At 49.0% G+C, this 18191-nt stretch overlaps 1 protein-coding gene across 3 annotated transcripts, besides 3 other annotated features; it reads left to right on the top strand.

Annotated features, from left to right (window-relative positions):
• Nucleotides 689-1198: an enhancer, noted in NCBI's record as "OCT4 hESC enhancer chr13:100631077-100631586 (GRCh37/hg19 assembly coordinates)". NCBI's record gives its function as "activates a minimal SCP1, AML or CMV promoter by ChIP-STARR-seq in naive and primed H9 embryonic stem cells {active_cell/tissue: H9 hESC(naive and primed)}" and the evidence as "EXISTENCE:reporter gene assay evidence [ECO:0000049][PMID:30033119]".
• Nucleotides 4724-5264: an enhancer, noted in NCBI's record as "H3K27ac-H3K4me1 hESC enhancer chr13:100627011-100627551 (GRCh37/hg19 assembly coordinates)". NCBI's record gives its function as "activates a minimal SCP1, AML or CMV promoter by ChIP-STARR-seq in primed H9 embryonic stem cells {active_cell/tissue: H9 hESC(primed)}" and the evidence as "EXISTENCE:reporter gene assay evidence [ECO:0000049][PMID:30033119]".
• Nucleotides 5265-5807: an enhancer, noted in NCBI's record as "OCT4-NANOG-H3K27ac-H3K4me1 hESC enhancer chr13:100626468-100627010 (GRCh37/hg19 assembly coordinates)". NCBI's record gives its function as "activates a minimal SCP1, AML or CMV promoter by ChIP-STARR-seq in primed H9 embryonic stem cells {active_cell/tissue: H9 hESC(primed)}" and the evidence as "EXISTENCE:reporter gene assay evidence [ECO:0000049][PMID:30033119]".
• Nucleotides 8112-17057, top strand: ZIC5 (Zic family zinc finger 5). 3 transcript variants are annotated; one of them, NR_146224.1, is made up of 3 exons: nt 8112-9894; nt 10092-10252; nt 14202-17057. NR_146224.1 is itself a non-coding variant. In NM_033132.5 (2 exons), the coding sequence occupies exons 1-2, from the start codon at nt 8418-8420 to the stop codon at nt 14642-14644; spliced, it is 1920 nt and encodes a 639-aa protein (NP_149123.3). In that variant the 5' UTR covers nt 8254-8417; the 3' UTR covers nt 14645-17057. The 3 variants fall into 3 exon arrangements, 1 of the variants encoding a protein (NP_149123.3); NM_033132.5 differs by lacking the exon at nt 10092-10252 and having other exon boundaries at nt 8254-9894; NR_146225.2 differs by lacking the exons at nt 8112-9894; nt 10092-10252 and adding an exon at nt 10849-11061.

The raw sequence follows: 18191 nt of genomic DNA, 5'->3' as shown, positions 1-18191 counted from the left end.
CCGCGGCGTCCCCGTCCGCCCCTCGGCGCGCTGAGCTCCCCACCCGCCGCTTGCGTCCTGCTCCGTTTACAGCAGTAAACACTGGGCAGCGGCCCCTGCGTGGAAGGGGGTTGTTCGGAAGTCGTTTAAAGACAGTGTCACCCTCAGGGTAAATGCCCAGAAGCCGGGCCGCGCATCCTTGGGCTGAGAAGTGTGGGAACGCCCGAGACCAAGCGAGACTCAGGCCGGAGTTTGGCTGCGGGTCAGGCTCAGGGTCTCGGGAGAAGAAGCCGTCAGACACGGCAGGGCTTAAACCTTCTAGAAAGCATATATATCCATCCACTCCTTCTCCAGGAGCAGGGAGTACCACCCGGGCGGTGGCCCAGCGGCGAGGCCGCTCCCGGCGCCGCGCCTGGCTGACCGCTGCGGACGTTTCCTGTCCCGCCGCCCAAATCTCGCGCTCCCGAGGTAACTAGAGAGGGAACGGAGGGCCCAGAGGCTGCGGAGGTGTGAAGGGACAGCCTGAGGCCAGCGCCTCGGGCGTGTTCTCCTGGCTGGCCTGGAGAACTGCTTTTATTTATAAATCTCTAGGAGTTGAAATAAAATTAAACGAAGAGAAAATAATAAATTTTTCAGAATTATGTTCTGAAATGAAATAAACAAAAACGCGGGAAGAATCCTCTAGCTCACTATGGCTGGCAGAACCCGGGCTCTCTTGCGCCGGCTCAGGCAGCCTCTCCCGGCTTAAGCGAGTCTCTGCAGGTTGGCGCTGGCCGCAGCCCCTTGCATAAGGAGCCCTGTGCCCTCCCTCCGTCCCATTCTTCCCTGTCCTGGGGGTGGGGTGGGGGTGCAAGAAGGAGGCAGGCTGTGGCATCCTGTCTGAAAGCAAGGCAGTTTGCCTGGAAGATGGAGATTCTCACCTTCCCTGAAAGGAGGAAACGTTCCCATTTCCACACCCCTCTCTCTGTGCATAAAAGGGGGCGGAGGGCACTAGCCAAACTGGCCCCCTAGACCTAAAGGGACCTGAGACATAGACGCAGAGAGAAAAGAGAACATCTTTGGCAGAAAGGCTGCCCTGCCACGTTGAATCCATTAAAAATTGCCTAGTGCAATTTTTGTACTACACACTTGTTTGCTTTATTCATCAATTTTTATGGGAATGGGAGGCGAGCACGAGAGGAGAGTATTTGGAAGGGCTTACTCCAAAAATATTTCCGAAGGAAAATGTTTTCTTGGAGATTGGTTATGAGAATAGCAGACCTGCACATGCAGAGACCTCACTTCCCTTCCTTCTTTCAGGCCATCAGACTTCGAAGTTTTCCTCCTTTCCCACTGTCTTACCCCCTCCCCAGTCCTCCCTCCCTCTCCTCTTTGACCCATTCTCTCTTTCGCTTTGATTTCGCCTTTGCTGCTCCCGCGTTTGGGGATCGCGCGGCTGGGCGCTCGCTCGCGCCGGATTCCAGGGGCCGCGCGCGGCCGGGCGGTGGGGCGGACGCCTTAATTCCCGCCGGAGACCCTACGGGTTGGGCGCTCCTGGCTATTCTTTCCCGGCTCTAGTTCTCCTCTCTCTGCAGGGCACAGAAGAGCTGAGCCAAGTTCAAAGTCACGTCGCCGTCCCTTCTCAGAAGTGCTTTATTTCTCTACAAACCGCAAAACCCCTTTACTTCATGACTTTTTTTTTTTAAGGAAGGAAAGTGAAGAGAGAGCTAGAGAGACCAAGGGGAAAAAAAAAAGCATGCAAAGGCTTTCAGAGTTACTGCCTTAAAAGTAGACTCGGGTTCCTTGGCTGAAGGAAAAAAGCGGCCAAGCGGCGTTATGCACAGTGTGAGTGAATTCAGTTTTTCAACAGGTTTCTGGAAGGGCCCGTCTGTGGCAGTGTCAGGGCCGCAGGACCCACAACTGTCTCCATCCGGCAAACAAGTCCCCTCTTTGTAAATTTCCCAAAACTATGCTTCCGAAATCTTACGGAGGCTGCGTGCGACTGGGCGGCAGGCCGGGGCTTGAGCGGATCCAGCTCAGGGCCGCGGGGGCCAGTGTTCATTTCTCGGCAAGTAGAGGGAATGGCAGCGCGATGGAGAATTGGGGTTGTCTTCAAAAACCAGAAAATCCCGCCAAACACCCGAGCGCCCATCAACCAAAGCACCTCGTTGCGGTTTGTGGGCCTCTGTGAACAGTGTTGACTGAGTTCTTTTGTGGTATGGGGTGTGTTTTGTGTACCTATGCATAAATATAGCGTGTATGCACACACTATACCCTCACACACAAATAGGTATACATTGCTGGACAGGAGAAGTCAAAGAACAAGCAAACAGAATTGACCTTTACATTGAAAAGCAGAAGCTCTCGGTTGCCACACCACTCAAACTTGTAATTTTCCTCTTAAGGAAGAAGGTGGAAACGGGGGTAGTGGGAAAGAGTTGAGAGAAGAAATTAGAGAAACAAGTGACCAAAAAAAAAAAAAAAAAAGCAGGGGGGTGGATTTCATAGGATTCCAGCACCATCATCTGTATCACAGACTCATAAATTCAACAAGATCATCAACAGGATATTAAGTTGCAAGGCACCTTTGATTCCGCCTTCTCAGCCACTCCTGGGCTGGGTGACCCCTGACCCATGAAGGACCACATGTGTGGTGCGGGAGCCCCCTCTATAAAATCCACCTAGAACAAAAGTTCTTTGTTAGTGCTTTAGAGAAGTGTAATGTAAAAGAAGGGGAAATTGTGAAAATCTCAGCCAATGTTGTAACTTTTAAATACCATTTTTAAGAAGTGGGGGTGCTGAATGAGGTTGTGATAGGATAAGGCCCTCTCTAGTTTGCTAAAAGAATGTCTTTTCTTCCTACAGTTAAAATTTACTGTTCTGTAACTGGGCTTATAAAAAGTCTCCATATAAAATATGTGCTCACCAGCAGTTTAGTGATAGGGATGTAAATATTTGTGTATTTGTCAAAAGGGACTCAGAAAAAATAGAAGACATCAACCACCCTGGCCTTTACCCCTGCAATGGTGATAGTCAGTGGTTGTGGTTTTCCAAAAGGAAGAGAATTAATTGTCCTTACTTGTCTTCTCCTTCCTGATGGGAGTGATTCTACTGCTGAAAAACAAACAAAACCAAACAACAAAAAATAGGAGGCATTAGCTTACGTGAATGTGTTTAATTATTCTGAAGACCTATCCTTTGGGCTCCCAGGCGAACTATATCCAGAGAGATTGAATACAGATGACAGGCGAGCAGCTTTCCAATAAACTGCAGTATTATTGCAATAGACTTTGTAATACAATTTATGCTGTCATTCATAAATAACAGTGCCATATGTCAACCATATTGCTTACACAAGTAAATCCATCAACGTGTCACTATTTGATTTATCTCAACAGCTTCTTCAAATATTGAAGTATAGATATTGGAAGGGGTGTGGAGTGGGAGGAACTACCCAAGAAATTTGAGATTTTATTTTTAACCGCACAAACTCTACTTCTCCTTCATTTCCCATCCAAAAACATCCTAAAGGATAAGAGATGAAGGGGAGGAGAAGCACATCGAGGGGCCAACACAAATAAATATTGGGTGGTTATATGAACTGTGAACATGTAAGAGAGTTCTGTCGTTGTTTTGACCTTCTGGAACATATTTTAGAACAATAATGCATTTCCCAAGAAATTGTCAATCCTAATGGTCAACTGTAGGTCAAAGGTCTTTCTCCAACAACCTCCATCTCTGAGGGTAGAAATGACTGCAAACCAAATGAAAGTATTTGATAACAGTCAAATTGTATTGAACTTATTCTTTAGTAGTAAGGAAGTAAAGGGAGTGATAGTTTTTCAATGGCTTTCAACCACAAAGGTGAGGTGGACATGGGATAGGCCCACTTCATGACTGTACAAACAACAAGACAAAACAAATCTCCACAGAATCCAACGTATCAGTCGTGGCCACACAGCCCCAGTCTTCTGCCTTTTCATCCTCATTAAGTCTACATAAGTGTGATAGGGCTATTAGAAGCACTTTTCTGGATACTTTTAGCTCCACACATATCCGTGGAGCCTCAGGACTCAGCGCCACCTCAGGAGGGCAGTAACCCTCCGAGAGCCCCTGGGAGGGCTGCCAATTGCGGAGCGATTCTGAGCACCCCAAGGCCTTGGGCCAGTCGCAGCCCCCAACGCAAGTCAGATTGCGAGTTGCCAAGGCCGGAAGGTGGGGATGGGGGATCCGGTCCCTGCCTCGTGCAGACGGGGCGGGCGGCCAGGAGAGGCTGCCCTGAAACTCCCTGCCTAGTGCCTGGCCAACCTGATTTGGGAAAACCCTTGAACCCAAAGTCACCATCACTTACGGCCCTGGCGAAGCTCTACTAAAATACAGCTGTGCCGGTGCCTTTGCCCACCCCGCCCTAGCTTTTACGAAAGGTCTCAGTGGACCATCAGGCCCTTTCCAGTGTCTGCTAGCAACCCCCTACTTCCGCGCCTGTTAAGCACCCATTGGCGCCCTTGGGCTGGGGTTCAAAGGTCCTTCGATTCCCCTAGTAATTTGGGTGCCCCATTCGCCCTTGAACCCGCCCCTGGCGCGGCCTAAATGACACTAGATGCTCCAAACCCGCCGACACCCAGTCCTTCTGCAGGGAGGCCGCTCTCACAGAAACCACGCGGGACCAGCGAGTCGTAAAGCAATTGCAGGGGCAATAAAGGGCGGTTCGGTGGGTCCCCCAGCTCCTTTCTTGTCCACCCCACCGTCCCCGAGATCCCCCTCCCTCCGCCTGCAGAAACAATCAAACAAAGGCTCAAAAGCCAGGAAATGTCCAATTCACTTCCCTTAGAGTTTATTAATTGCCCACACCCCTCGCAGGAAACTTGGCTGTGTTCGGTGACATACAGAGGGCACCGGGGGAGCGGTGGAGCCTCAGTCCCCCACTACGCGCAGCGGGAAGCCGCAAGCGCCAGCTCGAGCATCCCCAGAGATCGGGTCCCGTGGCCTCCAGGCAGCTGAGCGCGGTTAACTCAGCCAACCTGGGTTCTGGTTAGCTGGCCATTTACTGGGCCTCTCACCTCCCCAACCTACTCGCGCCTTTGTCTGGGGTTGGAAGGAGGTTGGGGTTCGGGGTGCAACCTAGAGGTCTGGAAATACACGCCCCGCAAGAGCCCTTGCTAACTCCAGAAAGGACATTTCCATGGCTTGCCACTTTGCTGCCTCCACGCAGGCACCTCCGCTGCAAAACGCAGAAAGGGGCATGGATTTGAGGACTGGCCCTGACGACCAGCACCACCGTCGAAATATGCGGGCCAAACCCCCAGAAGAATTGGCATAACGCCTTCCACAGCCCCCTGCTTTTAAAACTAGTATTATTATTCCCTTCAGCGCCCTGGAAATTGTTGGTGTTTATTTAGGAAGTGTGACAGAATTATTGGGTCTTCAGAAACTTGGGATGTTAAGGGGGTTTGATTTGGCTCCCAAATAGCTTGAAAAAGAAACAGCGCACCTGGGGTCAGGCGGGTCATCACAATAACAAAAAGCGCTTCTACAAAATAAAAAGCTCTTTTATAAAGAAAGGCAATCCCGGAAATCCACTGCAAGCCTTCCTGATGACCATCTAGCTAGGCCTATTCTCAGGTTTAATTGGCAGGCGGTTTATTGGCGCCTTATTGGTGTTGATTGAAATTTTGCTCCCAGTCTTTTCTTTTAAGAATTAGCATCTCAAGTCGATTTACCTGAGTCAATTATCTTTTTAGGGTCTAGGTTTGGTCATAAATTTGCAAATATTCATTAAACTCACTTTGTAAATATCCCTCTTTCCTATCGCTACCCAAATCTCTATTATTTCCTAAGAAAGTCTTTTCTTTTTTAAGGCTTCCATAAAAAGAAATTGATCAGGGAGCTATATTTGAATTAAGACATATTAAATCGATGACAGATACATATCACGCTGTGTTTAACAAGAGTTGTACAAGGAGGCGGGTTCCAGATTCCGCACGGCTCTGCTACACCATTATTCACATTTTTACAGCCTTTCCTTCATGCCTTCACCCATTAAACCATTAAATTTCAGCAATTCAATAAAACAAAGCAGTTATAATTTTGACGAAAAGCTATTTTGAAGGGGGTGGAGGTACCCATTTTATTGCACAATAAAAATGCTCAACAGTCCATATTAAAGGCTAGCTTGTGTTTATTTTCTTCTTTCTTTATTCATTTTGTTTTGTTTTGTTTTTACTTATAACCTGCAGGATTGAACCCAAAGCTGCCATTACTGCAAGAATTAATGCTTATTGCCAAGAAATTCAAATAAAGGAAACTCATTGGAAATGTTCAGAGAGGAAACGATGACAGTGATAATTCCAAATATGATGCTTTCTCCATAAACTATCCATAGAGATGGCACAGCTCTCGATCAACCTTTGCCTGGTTGGCTTGAAATGTTTTAAGTCTTTGACATAAAAATTGTGAAAGGACTCGTCGTTTCCAAAGTGAGATGAAGATTTTGTTACTGCTGTTTATTAAAATTTTTTCGTTGTGTTTCCACACATGCCTTTAATTCCCCATATTTGAACTTCATTGCAACTTAAAGAAAAAGTCCATTTGAAATTTGATGGTAGCATTGTCTTTGTTTGCTTGTCAGTTTTATAAAAGAAATGACATTCCTAAGTCTCATACCGAAGCCCCCTGTTAAACATCGTTCACACCAATGTGAATGGCACTATCGAATCAACTCTTTTCAGAATATTTCTGATTACTTCCCACGGCCATCTCCCCAATAACGGCTTTGTGCAGTCTACTTTTACTTGGACTGCAAATGAATTAAGTTGGAAACATATTTTATTGTATCCCCAAAGAAAAAGATCACATTCTAATCATTATCACTTTTTTTTTTTTTACAAGTAATGTTACGGATGACAGCAAAATACAAATTTTAAAATCCTGGCTTTAATATTTGAGCATTTTGTAACATCACAAATTTCAAAAATGCTTTCTTTTAAAATCTGAAAAGGACACTTTTGGGGCAGTAAAATCCTTAATTTGGGGGGAGGGTCCCACATTTCTCCGCCCACCAAAAAGTGATGCAGGGAATTTCTATTTTTAAAAAATCGATTTGATACCAAACCTCTGGAAAGGGATGGGATTCGCTTTTTTAAAAGCCAGTTTTTATGGTTTTCAAATAAGACATCTTAGAGGTAGACTGGTTTATGAGAAAACGATAAAAAGGTGAAAGATTATTCTATCAGTAAATAAAAAGCAAAGATATTTCTTGATTTCAAAATAATATTTTATTGGATCAGTTCTAATTGTGGATCAGTCAAAGAAACTGAGGCATACATGTGGACTGTGGACTGGGATCTGGACCGGAAGGAGAAATTCTACTTAAAGGACGGTGCTTATTTAGCGGCTTCTCTCTGCAGAGATGCCGTTTGGCCTGCCCCGCCACTGTATCTCCGAAAGGCAAAAGTTAGAATCGCTGCCCGATCTCCTCTCCCCCGCCCCTACTGTAGATCTAATTGGAAGTGGCAGATCTAGAACCGATGAGTAGTGAGATTACACTTCCATCCAACTCCTTTGAACCATGTTGAAAAGGACTCTCCATGAGATAAAAAGTCGAGGTAAAACGGTTCCTTTGGGGGAAAGACTTATTTTGACTTCACCTGGTGTTTCGCGGAGCCAAATCACTCAAGTTGTCTTGCAACCAATAGACTTTATCTTCTTCACTCCGTCTACTGTCTATGCGCCCTAGGTGAGCGCTAGGCAGGTTGGGTGTCCAAACAAGAAGTTTCTAGCATCACCACTACAGGTAGGACGGGCTATTCACCCTTCTCTCCCAAACAGCAGCCCAGGGCTCTTCCACCCCACAAGAGAGGTGGAGGTAGAGGCAGAAAGTACTTGGGTGCCAGAAGGCACACAGAGAAGTGAGGCCAAGGTTTTTGAAACTGGGACTGCCCCTCGGGGGTCCTCAGCCCCTCACCACCCCGCGCCCTCTGCCCGCGTGCCGGCGCGCGCTCCGCGAGGTGCGTCAAGGAAGAGCGGGGCGCTGCGCGCGCAGGCCAGGCTCAAACTTTCTGCAAGTGCAACTTGGGCATCCCCGGGGAGGCGGGGACGTGTGGCTCCAGCGGAGGAGGGGGCGCGAAGCGAAAGCGCAGGCGGCCGCAAGCACGGGGGCGAATCCCCGCTGGGTCGAGGGCCTGAACGGGAGCCAATCGAGCAGCCGAGGCTACTGCCAATCACGCGGCTCCCTCCAATCCCACCCGTGCCATTTCCAAAATCTCGGTCCCACTGTGCAGCTCAAATGTGGTGTTCACTCTGCCAATCGCTGGAGGATAGAGTGGGAACAGGAATAAGCAGAGTTAAGAGGCCAGGACAAAAGAAGTTAAAGAGCGCCCAATACATACATGTTTTTGAAGGCGGGCAGAGGGAATAAAGTCCCCCCAGTGAGGGTCTATGGGCCTGATTGTGTAGTTCTGATGGAGCCCCCTTTGAGCAAGAGGAACCCGCCAGCGCTGAGATTAGCGGATTTGGCAACGGCTCAGGTCCAGCCGCTTCAGAATATGACAGGCTTCCCGGCGCTGGCCGGCCCGCCCGCCCACTCCCAACTCCGGGCCGCCGTCGCGCACCTCCGCCTGCGGGACCTGGGCGCTGACCCCGGCGTGGCCACCACTCCGCTCGGACCCGAGCACATGGCCCAGGCGAGCACGCTGGGCCTCAGCCCTCCCTCCCAGGCGTTCCCGGCACACCCGGAGGCTCCGGCAGCCGCCGCCCGTGCTGCAGCCTTGGTCGCGCACCCCGGCGCGGGCAGCTACCCCTGCGGCGGGGGCAGCAGTGGCGCGCAGCCCTCCGCGCCCCCGCCCCCAGCCCCTCCTCTTCCTCCCACCCCTTCACCCCCTCCCCCTCCCCCGCCTCCTCCTCCTCCTGCCCTCTCGGGCTACACCACCACCAACAGTGGCGGCGGCGGCAGCAGCGGCAAAGGCCACAGCAGGGACTTCGTCCTCCGGAGGGACCTTTCCGCCACGGCCCCCGCGGCGGCCATGCACGGGGCCCCGCTCGGAGGGGAGCAGCGGTCCGGCACCGGCTCCCCCCAGCACCCGGCCCCGCCTCCCCACTCGGCCGGCATGTTCATCTCCGCCAGCGGCACCTACGCGGGCCCGGACGGCAGCGGCGGCCCGGCGCTCTTCCCCGCGCTGCACGACACGCCGGGGGCCCCAGGCGGCCACCCGCACCCGCTCAACGGCCAGATGCGCCTGGGGCTGGCGGCGGCAGCGGCAGCCGCGGCGGCTGAGCTGTACGGCCGCGCCGAACCGCCCTTCGCGCCGCGCTCTGGGGACGCGCACTACGGGGCGGTTGCGGCCGCAGCGGCGGCCGCCCTGCACGGCTACGGAGCCGTGAACTTAAACCTGAACCTGGCGGCTGCGGCGGCCGCAGCAGCGGCCGGGCCCGGGCCCCACCTGCAGCACCACGCGCCGCCCCCGGCGCCGCCGCCGCCGCCGGCGCCCGCGCAGCACCCGCACCAGCACCACCCCCACCTCCCAGGGGCGGCTGGGGCCTTCCTGCGCTACATGCGGCAGCCAATCAAGCAGGAGCTCATCTGCAAGTGGATCGACCCCGACGAGCTGGCCGGGCTGCCGCCGCCGCCGCCGCCGCCGCCGCCGCCGCCGCCACCGCCCCCGGCCGGCGGCGCCAAGCCCTGCTCCAAAACTTTCGGCACCATGCACGAGCTGGTGAATCACGTCACGGTGGAGCACGTGGGAGGCCCCGAGCAGAGCAGCCACGTCTGCTTCTGGGAGGACTGTCCGCGCGAGGGCAAGCCCTTCAAGGCCAAATACAAGCTCATCAACCACATCCGCGTGCACACCGGCGAGAAGCCCTTTCCCTGCCCTTTCCCCGGCTGCGGCAAGGTCTTCGCGCGCTCCGAGAACCTCAAGATCCACAAGCGTACTCATACAGGTGGGTGTCTGTCCCCGGCCGCGCCGCCGCCGCCGCCACCAGCTCCTGCGCCGCCGCCGCTTCCGCCGCTGCTTCTCCTCCTCCTCCTGCTCGCCTTAATTTTTTTCTCCTTCTGCTGCTTCTCTTCGCATACGTATAACCCGGACATGTGACTTCTTTTTTTTTCTCTCCCCCCCTTTTTTTTTTCTATGAATAAGTAATTCGATAGCACACACAGGCCCCGCGTTGGGTTCCCACACGGCGGAGTCTCCAGCGCGCCCGCAGCCCCTCGGCCGGGACCCGCAACGCGCGCCAGCCGCCGCCGCCGCCACCTCGGAGCAGACGCAGCAGCAGCTGGAGCAGGAAGGCGCCCAGGACGGTCGGCAGTCCCCACCCGCCCGGCCCTGGGAAGTCTGGGAGGGCGATGGAAAGAGAGGCCGGGCCGCCCCGGCAAGCGCCTCTCTTCCCACCGGGTCGTAGGCCCCGCGCAGTCTCCGCGCTCCGAGGACCGGGCGTGGGATTTGCTGCCGGATTTGGGCCGCCCGAGGCAGGCCTTCCGGGAGGGGAAGGGACCCCTCCGGGAAGACAGGAATGCGCTTTCGGAACCCCGGAGACCACTCGCACTCGCCCACCGTGACACACTCTTCACGCACACCTTCTTCTGCGTGCGTCTCCCACAACTTTACACACTCATATCCTCCTGCGCGTGCACCCCATTCCCGCGACACCTGTGTGTCCTCACACTCACATCATTTACACGCCCCACGCGCCCTCTCACACGCAGTATCACACTCGCCCTGGAGGGTGCTGGAGTTGACATCTGCCTTTCTAGAGAAGGTTCTAGTTGTAGGAGGACCCGAGCCTCCCACCATCGGTGAGGCCTACCCTGTCGTGGAATTGGTGGGGAGCCACCGGCGTCGTGGGGACCCTCCCACCCCACCTCAAGCCCTGCCTCTGGGGATCCCACAGCGCTGAGGAGGGCGGCTGCGGCGCGAGGCGGTGGATGGCTCCTGTGGGTCGTGTGCCCCCTTTGAGCGGACCAGCGCGTCGGGCGGAAGCGCTGATGAGCGCGAACGCAGTCGGGATTTATAGGGACAGATACGATTACCCCTCGGAGGACACTTAAGTAACTGGAGTTTACGTTCAGTAATCACTTGGCAGATTTATCGGCGCTGCTGCGGCCAGGAGGTAGCCGCCGGGTCCCACGCTCGGGCCGGGGGCGCTCGGGGCTCTGCGGGGGCAGCAGCGTCGGGGTGGCCCGAGGCGGGAGCCTTGGCTTGGCTCCTGCGGGCCGCCTGATGGCCGGTGGGGAGCACGTTTTCCCAGGAGCCCCTTTTCTCTCTAATCGGGATCAGTCCGCCTTAATGATTTTTCCAGGAAGAAACTTCCCAGGAGGCTCTCGTAAAAACGCCCTGGCCCGCTAAGCCGGCTGCTCGCTCCTGTGCCCAGCACTTCTCGGCAGGGCAGGATCCAGGGACCGTGAAGCCGCTCCCCAGCCCGGCCCCGAAAGGGAACTCCCAAGCGCGGGGCCGCGCGCGGCCTAGGGCCCTTCCCGCCTGCCCAGGCCTCGCGAGGGGAGCGGCCTTCCCTAGGCGGCTGCCGGGAGCTGCGGGCGCAGAAGCCGATCCGGGCCCCCGGCGGGACAGGCCACGCCCTGCGCACTGTCCCCGGTGGCTTCCCGGGGCACGCGCGCGTGCGTGGGGTCGGGGGGGGCGCGGGGGACCCCAGGCGGCGAGGGGACCCGCGGTCATTTGGGTTTTTGGCTCTGCGTCTCGCGGACGGTTGCATTTCCTGCCCCCTCCCGGCGGCCGCGTGGGCCCCACCCGGTGGAGCGTGGGGGTCCCTGCGGGAGGGACGCAGGCGCCTCGGGTTCAGACTCCAACCCGCGCTTGGTGTTTCTGGCGGTCCCTGGGCCGCTCAGCTATTGGACATTGTGTTCTGAGAGGGCCCATCCGGACTTCTTTCCCTCCCTGCCACGCCGCTCTCCCTTTTGGGGGTTATCCGGGATCCCGGAACGGATTGATCAAAGGGACTAATCCCCGGGCCACTTCCGAAGGCCCCTTTCCTGACCCACGTGCCCCCAGTCCCGTTTATAACCGTCCCGCGGGCCCGACTCGCGCTCTCTCGGGAGAGGGAGCTGCTAGGAGCTGGCGGGGTCCGCAAGTAGTTCCTTACTTTCCCACAGGCTCCAGGCTCTCAAACTCTGTAAATAGTTAAATTCTGACGTGACTCGTCTATCAGAATCTTAAATGTAAACACTGAGGTCTCTCAGCCTTTCTAGTTAGGTAGAATTTGCTTATTCCCCTTAGGCCCCCTGAACAACACAGGCCTTTCCATCGCCCTTGCCTTGTTTTCTTCTGTTTTCTCCGTGCACCTCTTCCTTTATTTAACTCTAATGTTCTACCTTTCCTTCCACGACATCTGTCCCTTTCCTGAGTCTAATTGTTCCCCTTTTTCATGTGCAGTGGAGGAGTTAGCAGTGTTCAAAGCGTTTCTTCACAACCCGGGATATGTAGGTTGAACAGAAACGACCATGCTCAAAAACAGCATTGCACCTTCGCGTAGGGTGGATGAGTAAACCCATGTAATTACGCCTCCATATTGAAGAAAGGCTGATTTTAATTTCTTAAAAAGAATATGATGTTAACTTGGTCTTATCTACGACTTAAAGTGTAATGTAGAAATCAGGACAAATCACTGATGTTTTGATAAAAAGGGATTAGCTTTGTTTTTGTTAAAGCTCATCTACAGAGAATTTTTCGAGGTTGTGATTATCATGGGGTTGTTTTTTCTCTCTTTATACATCACTGTAGGAGGCATATTTGAATAATGTCTAATTCTGTTTTTAAACAGTATTTCCAGGTAGGGAAAGTTAAATTCCAGGCATCTGCCTGAATACTCTCAGATGTGCTAGCATACTCTGCCATGGAAGCAGTTATCGTTGGCGAAATATTTTTTAAAAACTCACTACAGTAAAATATCTGCAGAGGGTGTAAGAAAAGTCACCACAGAAATGTATGTACACTAAGCTGAGGCTTAACAGTTTGTTTTTGAAAACAAGTTATCCAAAACAAAAGAAAATGTCATACCTAGTGTATCACCAGAGTAGCTGCTGAAATATGAGAAATTCAACTTTATTTTTAAATTATTTACCTAAAAGAGGAAAATATTAATTCAATAATATGTATGAAATGACTTGTTTAATTATGGACTCAACTCTATCAAGTTCAGAGATACCAAGGGGAGAGGGAAAATTCAGTTAGACTGTTACCTGCTGTCTTCCTTTTCTTGCTGTTTAACACCAAAATGTAGTGTGGCTGAATTTCTCTAGTTGTCTTATTAAGTATTTCCATTTCCTGGACTAGAGGCCTTGTGTTTAAAGGCGTGTTTGTGGGGTGGTTAGGCCAGCTTAAGGAGGTGACAGCCAAAAGACCCTGGCCTTTTTAAATTTTTTTAAGGTCTTTTTGACTAGTAAGCAATGTAGGGAGCTGTGAGAGTAAGTATACTTATGGCATAAAGTAAAGGTAGGTTCTGCTAAGGCTTGTGGTCTTTATTAATGTATGTTAAAGCTCGATCTGCTGTGCTCTTAACTGCCCTGCAAGTAGTGAGGAAAGCTGTAGAATGCAGAGGTCAACAGCCTGTTCTCTGCCCAGCTAGCCCTGTAAAAATCGAGTGGTGGGAGTATGTTTCACAGGTGCCTCTATTTCTAAAGAAAAACATTGTTTTGTTTTACCTCTTTCCCTTTCCCATCTCCACGTTCTCTCCTGATGCCCCTCTCCTTCAATGAAATCCTGGAGAACACTGAAAGGAAATGCCATTATTATAATTTGACTGTACCCCCCAGTTTACTTTTAATTTAGTGTATGTGTTTGCTTTTTTCTCTTTTTCTTATACGCTTACTTCCGCCTGTGGCTTTGGAAGTATCATTTTGTGTTTATTTTGACAGGAGGATCTCCTGCTTGTGTTTTTGAGTGTACAGACCCTGAGGGGAGTGTGTCTGTCGGGGGAGGGGGTCTGCGGGTCCCAGGTGGGTTTCAGTGTTACATTCTGGCCCTTAGCTCAGCACTAGGGATCTCACCCTGATCCCTCTGGGACTGCAGGGCCTGACAGCCTCTCAGGAGCCCAGGTCCAGGCAAAGCCACCAGGTCAGCAGAATCCAGGCCCATCCCTGAAGCATCCCTTCCCTTTTGTGAATTAGGAAGAAGAATTAGGCTGGGAGTTGGTCTCTGGGAGAATAGGAAAAACACAACCTTGGTTCTGCTTCAAGATTTCTGTCAAGAGAGGGGTCTTGGAAAGCCATTGTTGACCTTTCCTGTGTTTCCTTGCAGGGGAAAAGCCTTTCAAATGTGAATTTGATGGCTGTGACAGGAAGTTTGCCAATAGCAGTGATCGGAAGAAACATTCCCATGTCCACACCAGTGACAAGCCCTACTACTGCAAGATTCGAGGCTGTGACAAATCCTACACTCACCCAAGCTCCCTGAGGAAGCACATGAAGATTCACTGCAAGTCCCCGCCACCTTCTCCAGGACCCCTTGGTTACTCATCAGTGGGGACTCCAGTGGGCGCCCCCTTGTCCCCTGTGCTGGACCCAGCCAGGAGTCACTCCAGCACTCTGTCCCCTCAGGTGACCAACCTCAATGAGTGGTACGTTTGCCAGGCCAGTGGGGCCCCCAGCCACCTCCACACCCCTTCCAGCAACGGAACCACCTCTGAGACTGAAGATGAGGAAATTTACGGGAACCCTGAAGTTGTGCGGACGATACATTAGAATTTATTATTAATAATAATAAGTGAAATAATAAGTGGGAGTCCTTGGACCACATCCTAACCTGAGACAATGCCGAGCCTGAGACAAACCCGTGACTCAGACTTGCCACCGGGTCTAATTAGCCCTATTTATTCAGTATGAAACCCTATGGTGTTTGTACATTTAATTAATTTAATTAAGATATTTGGGCTTTTTTTTTTTTTTTTCTTAAAAAACAAACAAAAAACAACCAAGCTGGACTTGTACATTGCAGGAGGATGGGGCTGGGGGCAAATTGTACCAAGGAAAATGAATGGAGAGATTAGTTAATGGCGATACACACTGCCGATGCAATATATATATATATATATATATACATATATATATATATTATTTTTTTTAAAAGGGGGAGAAAAAGAGCATTAAGTCAGAACTTAACACAGCACCAAGGCCCTCTGCATTTCCCAGAGTGCCTCTCAAATGCCTTTGACACCATACCATGGGCTGCTTTTGAGCCTCCTTGTTGGACCCTAATTCTGCCAAGGCCTCTTGATTGTAAACCACACACCTGCTGCATTGCCAACAGATCCTGTTCCGTACCTGTGTCCAAAAACATTTGTAAAAACCCTTTGAGTTTAATATTTGTAATTTTTAATTTCCACTCTTTTATTACTGATCTTAGCTTAATACAATATTTTTATACAGGATTATTTCTTCAGTATCCTACTGTGTGATTTTAAAAAAAGATGCAGCAACCTTAATATATCTCCATATCTTGTGCTACTGTGATTGTTCAAGCAAAAGTGGAGAGAAGAAAAGCTGCTGCAAAAGACAACTGTGAAACTGTGATATTTTATAAAATAGAAGAAATTCAAGTGCTTTCTTTTTCCTATATGTTTTTTTTTTTTTATCTGAATTCTCAGATACTGCCTCCTAACTGTGTCCAAACTTCTTGTGTAATAAAGAGATTCTGTTTTCGATCCTAAGTTCTTTGGGATGCCAACATTCACAGTCAAGTCTTGAGGAGGTGTGATGATGGCATCATGCCTATTTTTTTGGAAAGCTGTTGTTTTTAAAACAGGCCAACACCTCTTTTATACTGTTGTATCAGCCTTTTAAAAAGTCTATTTTTCAATGCCTGAAACTGCATTTTAATGCATTTTCTTCCACCTGAGCACTGAGCACACCAAACTGGAATCCATTTGAAAATGACAGTGTGTGAAGTGTATGATTTACATTAAAAGAGGGGAGGGAGTTGCCATACATATTAAAAATTTTTAAAAGGTTTATAGTTACCACCAAACACTGATGAATGTGTGACCTTTGCCAGAGCTGTCAAGCTAGGATAAAAAAGGTCAAGGACCTAGGACAATAACTCTTAGTCGATTTATTTTCGGTTGGTACAACACATCTCCTGTGCAAAATGTAGTCCATCAGAAACATCCTACAGATACACTAAAGAGCACTAATTTATCCTTAGAGACCCCGAAGACACCCCCTCCCCAGGGTTTGTAGAAATTTGTTTTGTGTGCTGTGAGTGGTTGATGTAGTCTTGTCATTGTTAATAACTTGTATGTGAACACTATTATTTGTACAGTTGAATTAATTTATTTTCAGACATCATCCTTTTTTTTTTTCTTTCCTGGAAGAGTTCAAAGCACACCAAAGAATTATATTATACATTTTGGTGAAAGATTGTCATTTATGATCCATGGTTTATTTAAAAAAAAAAGGAAAGAAAATGGAAAAATATATTTTTAAGCTTACTTGAATGAACAACGTAATGTGAAAACCAAGACTCTTCCTGCATGTCTTTTTTGCATTGTGTTGATAAGATTATATATAGTTTATAGATATATTATATTACTAGTACAGTGCATGGTGCTGTCACTTGGAAAGCCTTTCAATGTTGTCTTCAGATTGTTGTGATGAATATGAAACATGCAGACCCTCCTTTATAAAGAAAAAGACCTTAAAACTTGAATATGAGATAATTTTACATTTTAAAAGTTTATTTGATTTTCATATTATTCACTTTCAAAGCCCTTTCAAATAGAAAAGGTATGAACTTTTGGGGGGATAATTTATGTATCGTAAACTTATTAGAACAAAATATTCCTGATGTATAATGAGTTGTTTTATTTATACAACTTTTTCAATGGTAGTTTGCACTATTCTTTATTATGCTACAGGTTTATTTATTATGAAACAAAGGAATATGTATTTTATGTATTTTACCATGCATAGGTTAACTCTTTGCCACAGATTTATTGGTTCTTGATACACCTAAAATAAAAAAAAATGTGTACCTCCAATAGAGAGCAAGCAAGAATGATTATGAAGTAACAAATTTAATAAAGGTATTCTTGTTATTATTGCTTATGTTTTACATAATGGCATATCTCTCATACAAATAGAACAGGTTGCTAATGGAGTGAATGTCTTCCCTTGGTCTCTTGATTTCTCAGCCTCTCCCCAAGCAATACAATATTTTTGCAGCCTGGTTTAACTTAACAACTTACAAGCTTATCTAGGAAACACAGATATTTATGAAGACTAAGCCTTGCAGGTTATACTTACAGTAGCATAAATCTTTTGGGTTACTGCATTTATTTGTTAAAATAAGTAATATCCTGATTGATTCTAATCAGTGAAAAGCCAAAAAGTGAATTTTAGCATTTCTTTGGTGCCCAGCCTCCAAAAGGAAAAAAAAGAATAAAGAAAATGTGGAGGAAGGGACGGTGAGGCTTCTAGACAAAAAGAAGGTGAAAGCAAAATCAGTCAGGGGCTGAGATAGGTATTGAATGAAATTGAGTAGTGGGCATCAAATGCCTCTTATGGCGTGGGAGATCAAGATGCAATTTTACTGTAGTTTGTTCTGGAAGTTGAGTGGCTATTGGTAATTTAAGCTCAGCATTTTGGGCCAGGTGTGTTGAACAATTAGATTCTTGCATGGCAGCAAAATATTCAAGTGGCTTAAATGCAGGTGTTTGGCTATGCACATTTACAAGGCTGGATGTTTGCTTGTGTTTTTGTTAGCAGATACAAAACTGATAAAAGTCAGATAGTTAAAAGCAACTGCTAGTAATGTCAATAAGCATTTCTCTGAAAGGTTATAGTGGCTTTTAAAAGTCAGGTTTGTTAAATGTAGTAAAGGTGAAACAGGTTGCAAAGAGTTGTTTTAACTCAGATGACAATAACCAGCACACGAAGGAGAAAAACACTCATAAATGAGGGCCCCAATCAATGGGAAAACTTATAGCTCTCTAATGAAGTTTCTTGTGAAAAGAAGGGTGACACAAAGCCACCAAGACATGAATCATTCATGGGAAATATAAAAGATAAAAGATATCTGACAATGAGCAGAACCTTGTATAGAGTGTATAAAACAAGTTTCCCCTTCTTATTTTCTGCTTTAAAACGCACAATCTCCCACTCCCAGCATTCTCTGTCCAGTCTATAGAGTTAAAATTGACCACTGCTCGTACTGCGCCACTTCAAAGTAATTTAGTCCAGAACGGAAGGCTTGGCGCTCGGACAATCTTCATGGTGTGTTAAGATTTCTATG

This window comes from Homo sapiens, chromosome 13 (genome assembly GCF_000001405.40).
Source record: "Homo sapiens chromosome 13, GRCh38.p14 Primary Assembly".
Lineage (NCBI taxonomy): Eukaryota > Metazoa > Chordata > Mammalia > Primates > Hominidae > Homo > Homo sapiens.
Note: the sequence above shows the minus strand (reverse complement) of the source record. Positions and strands in the feature narration are given on the sequence as shown.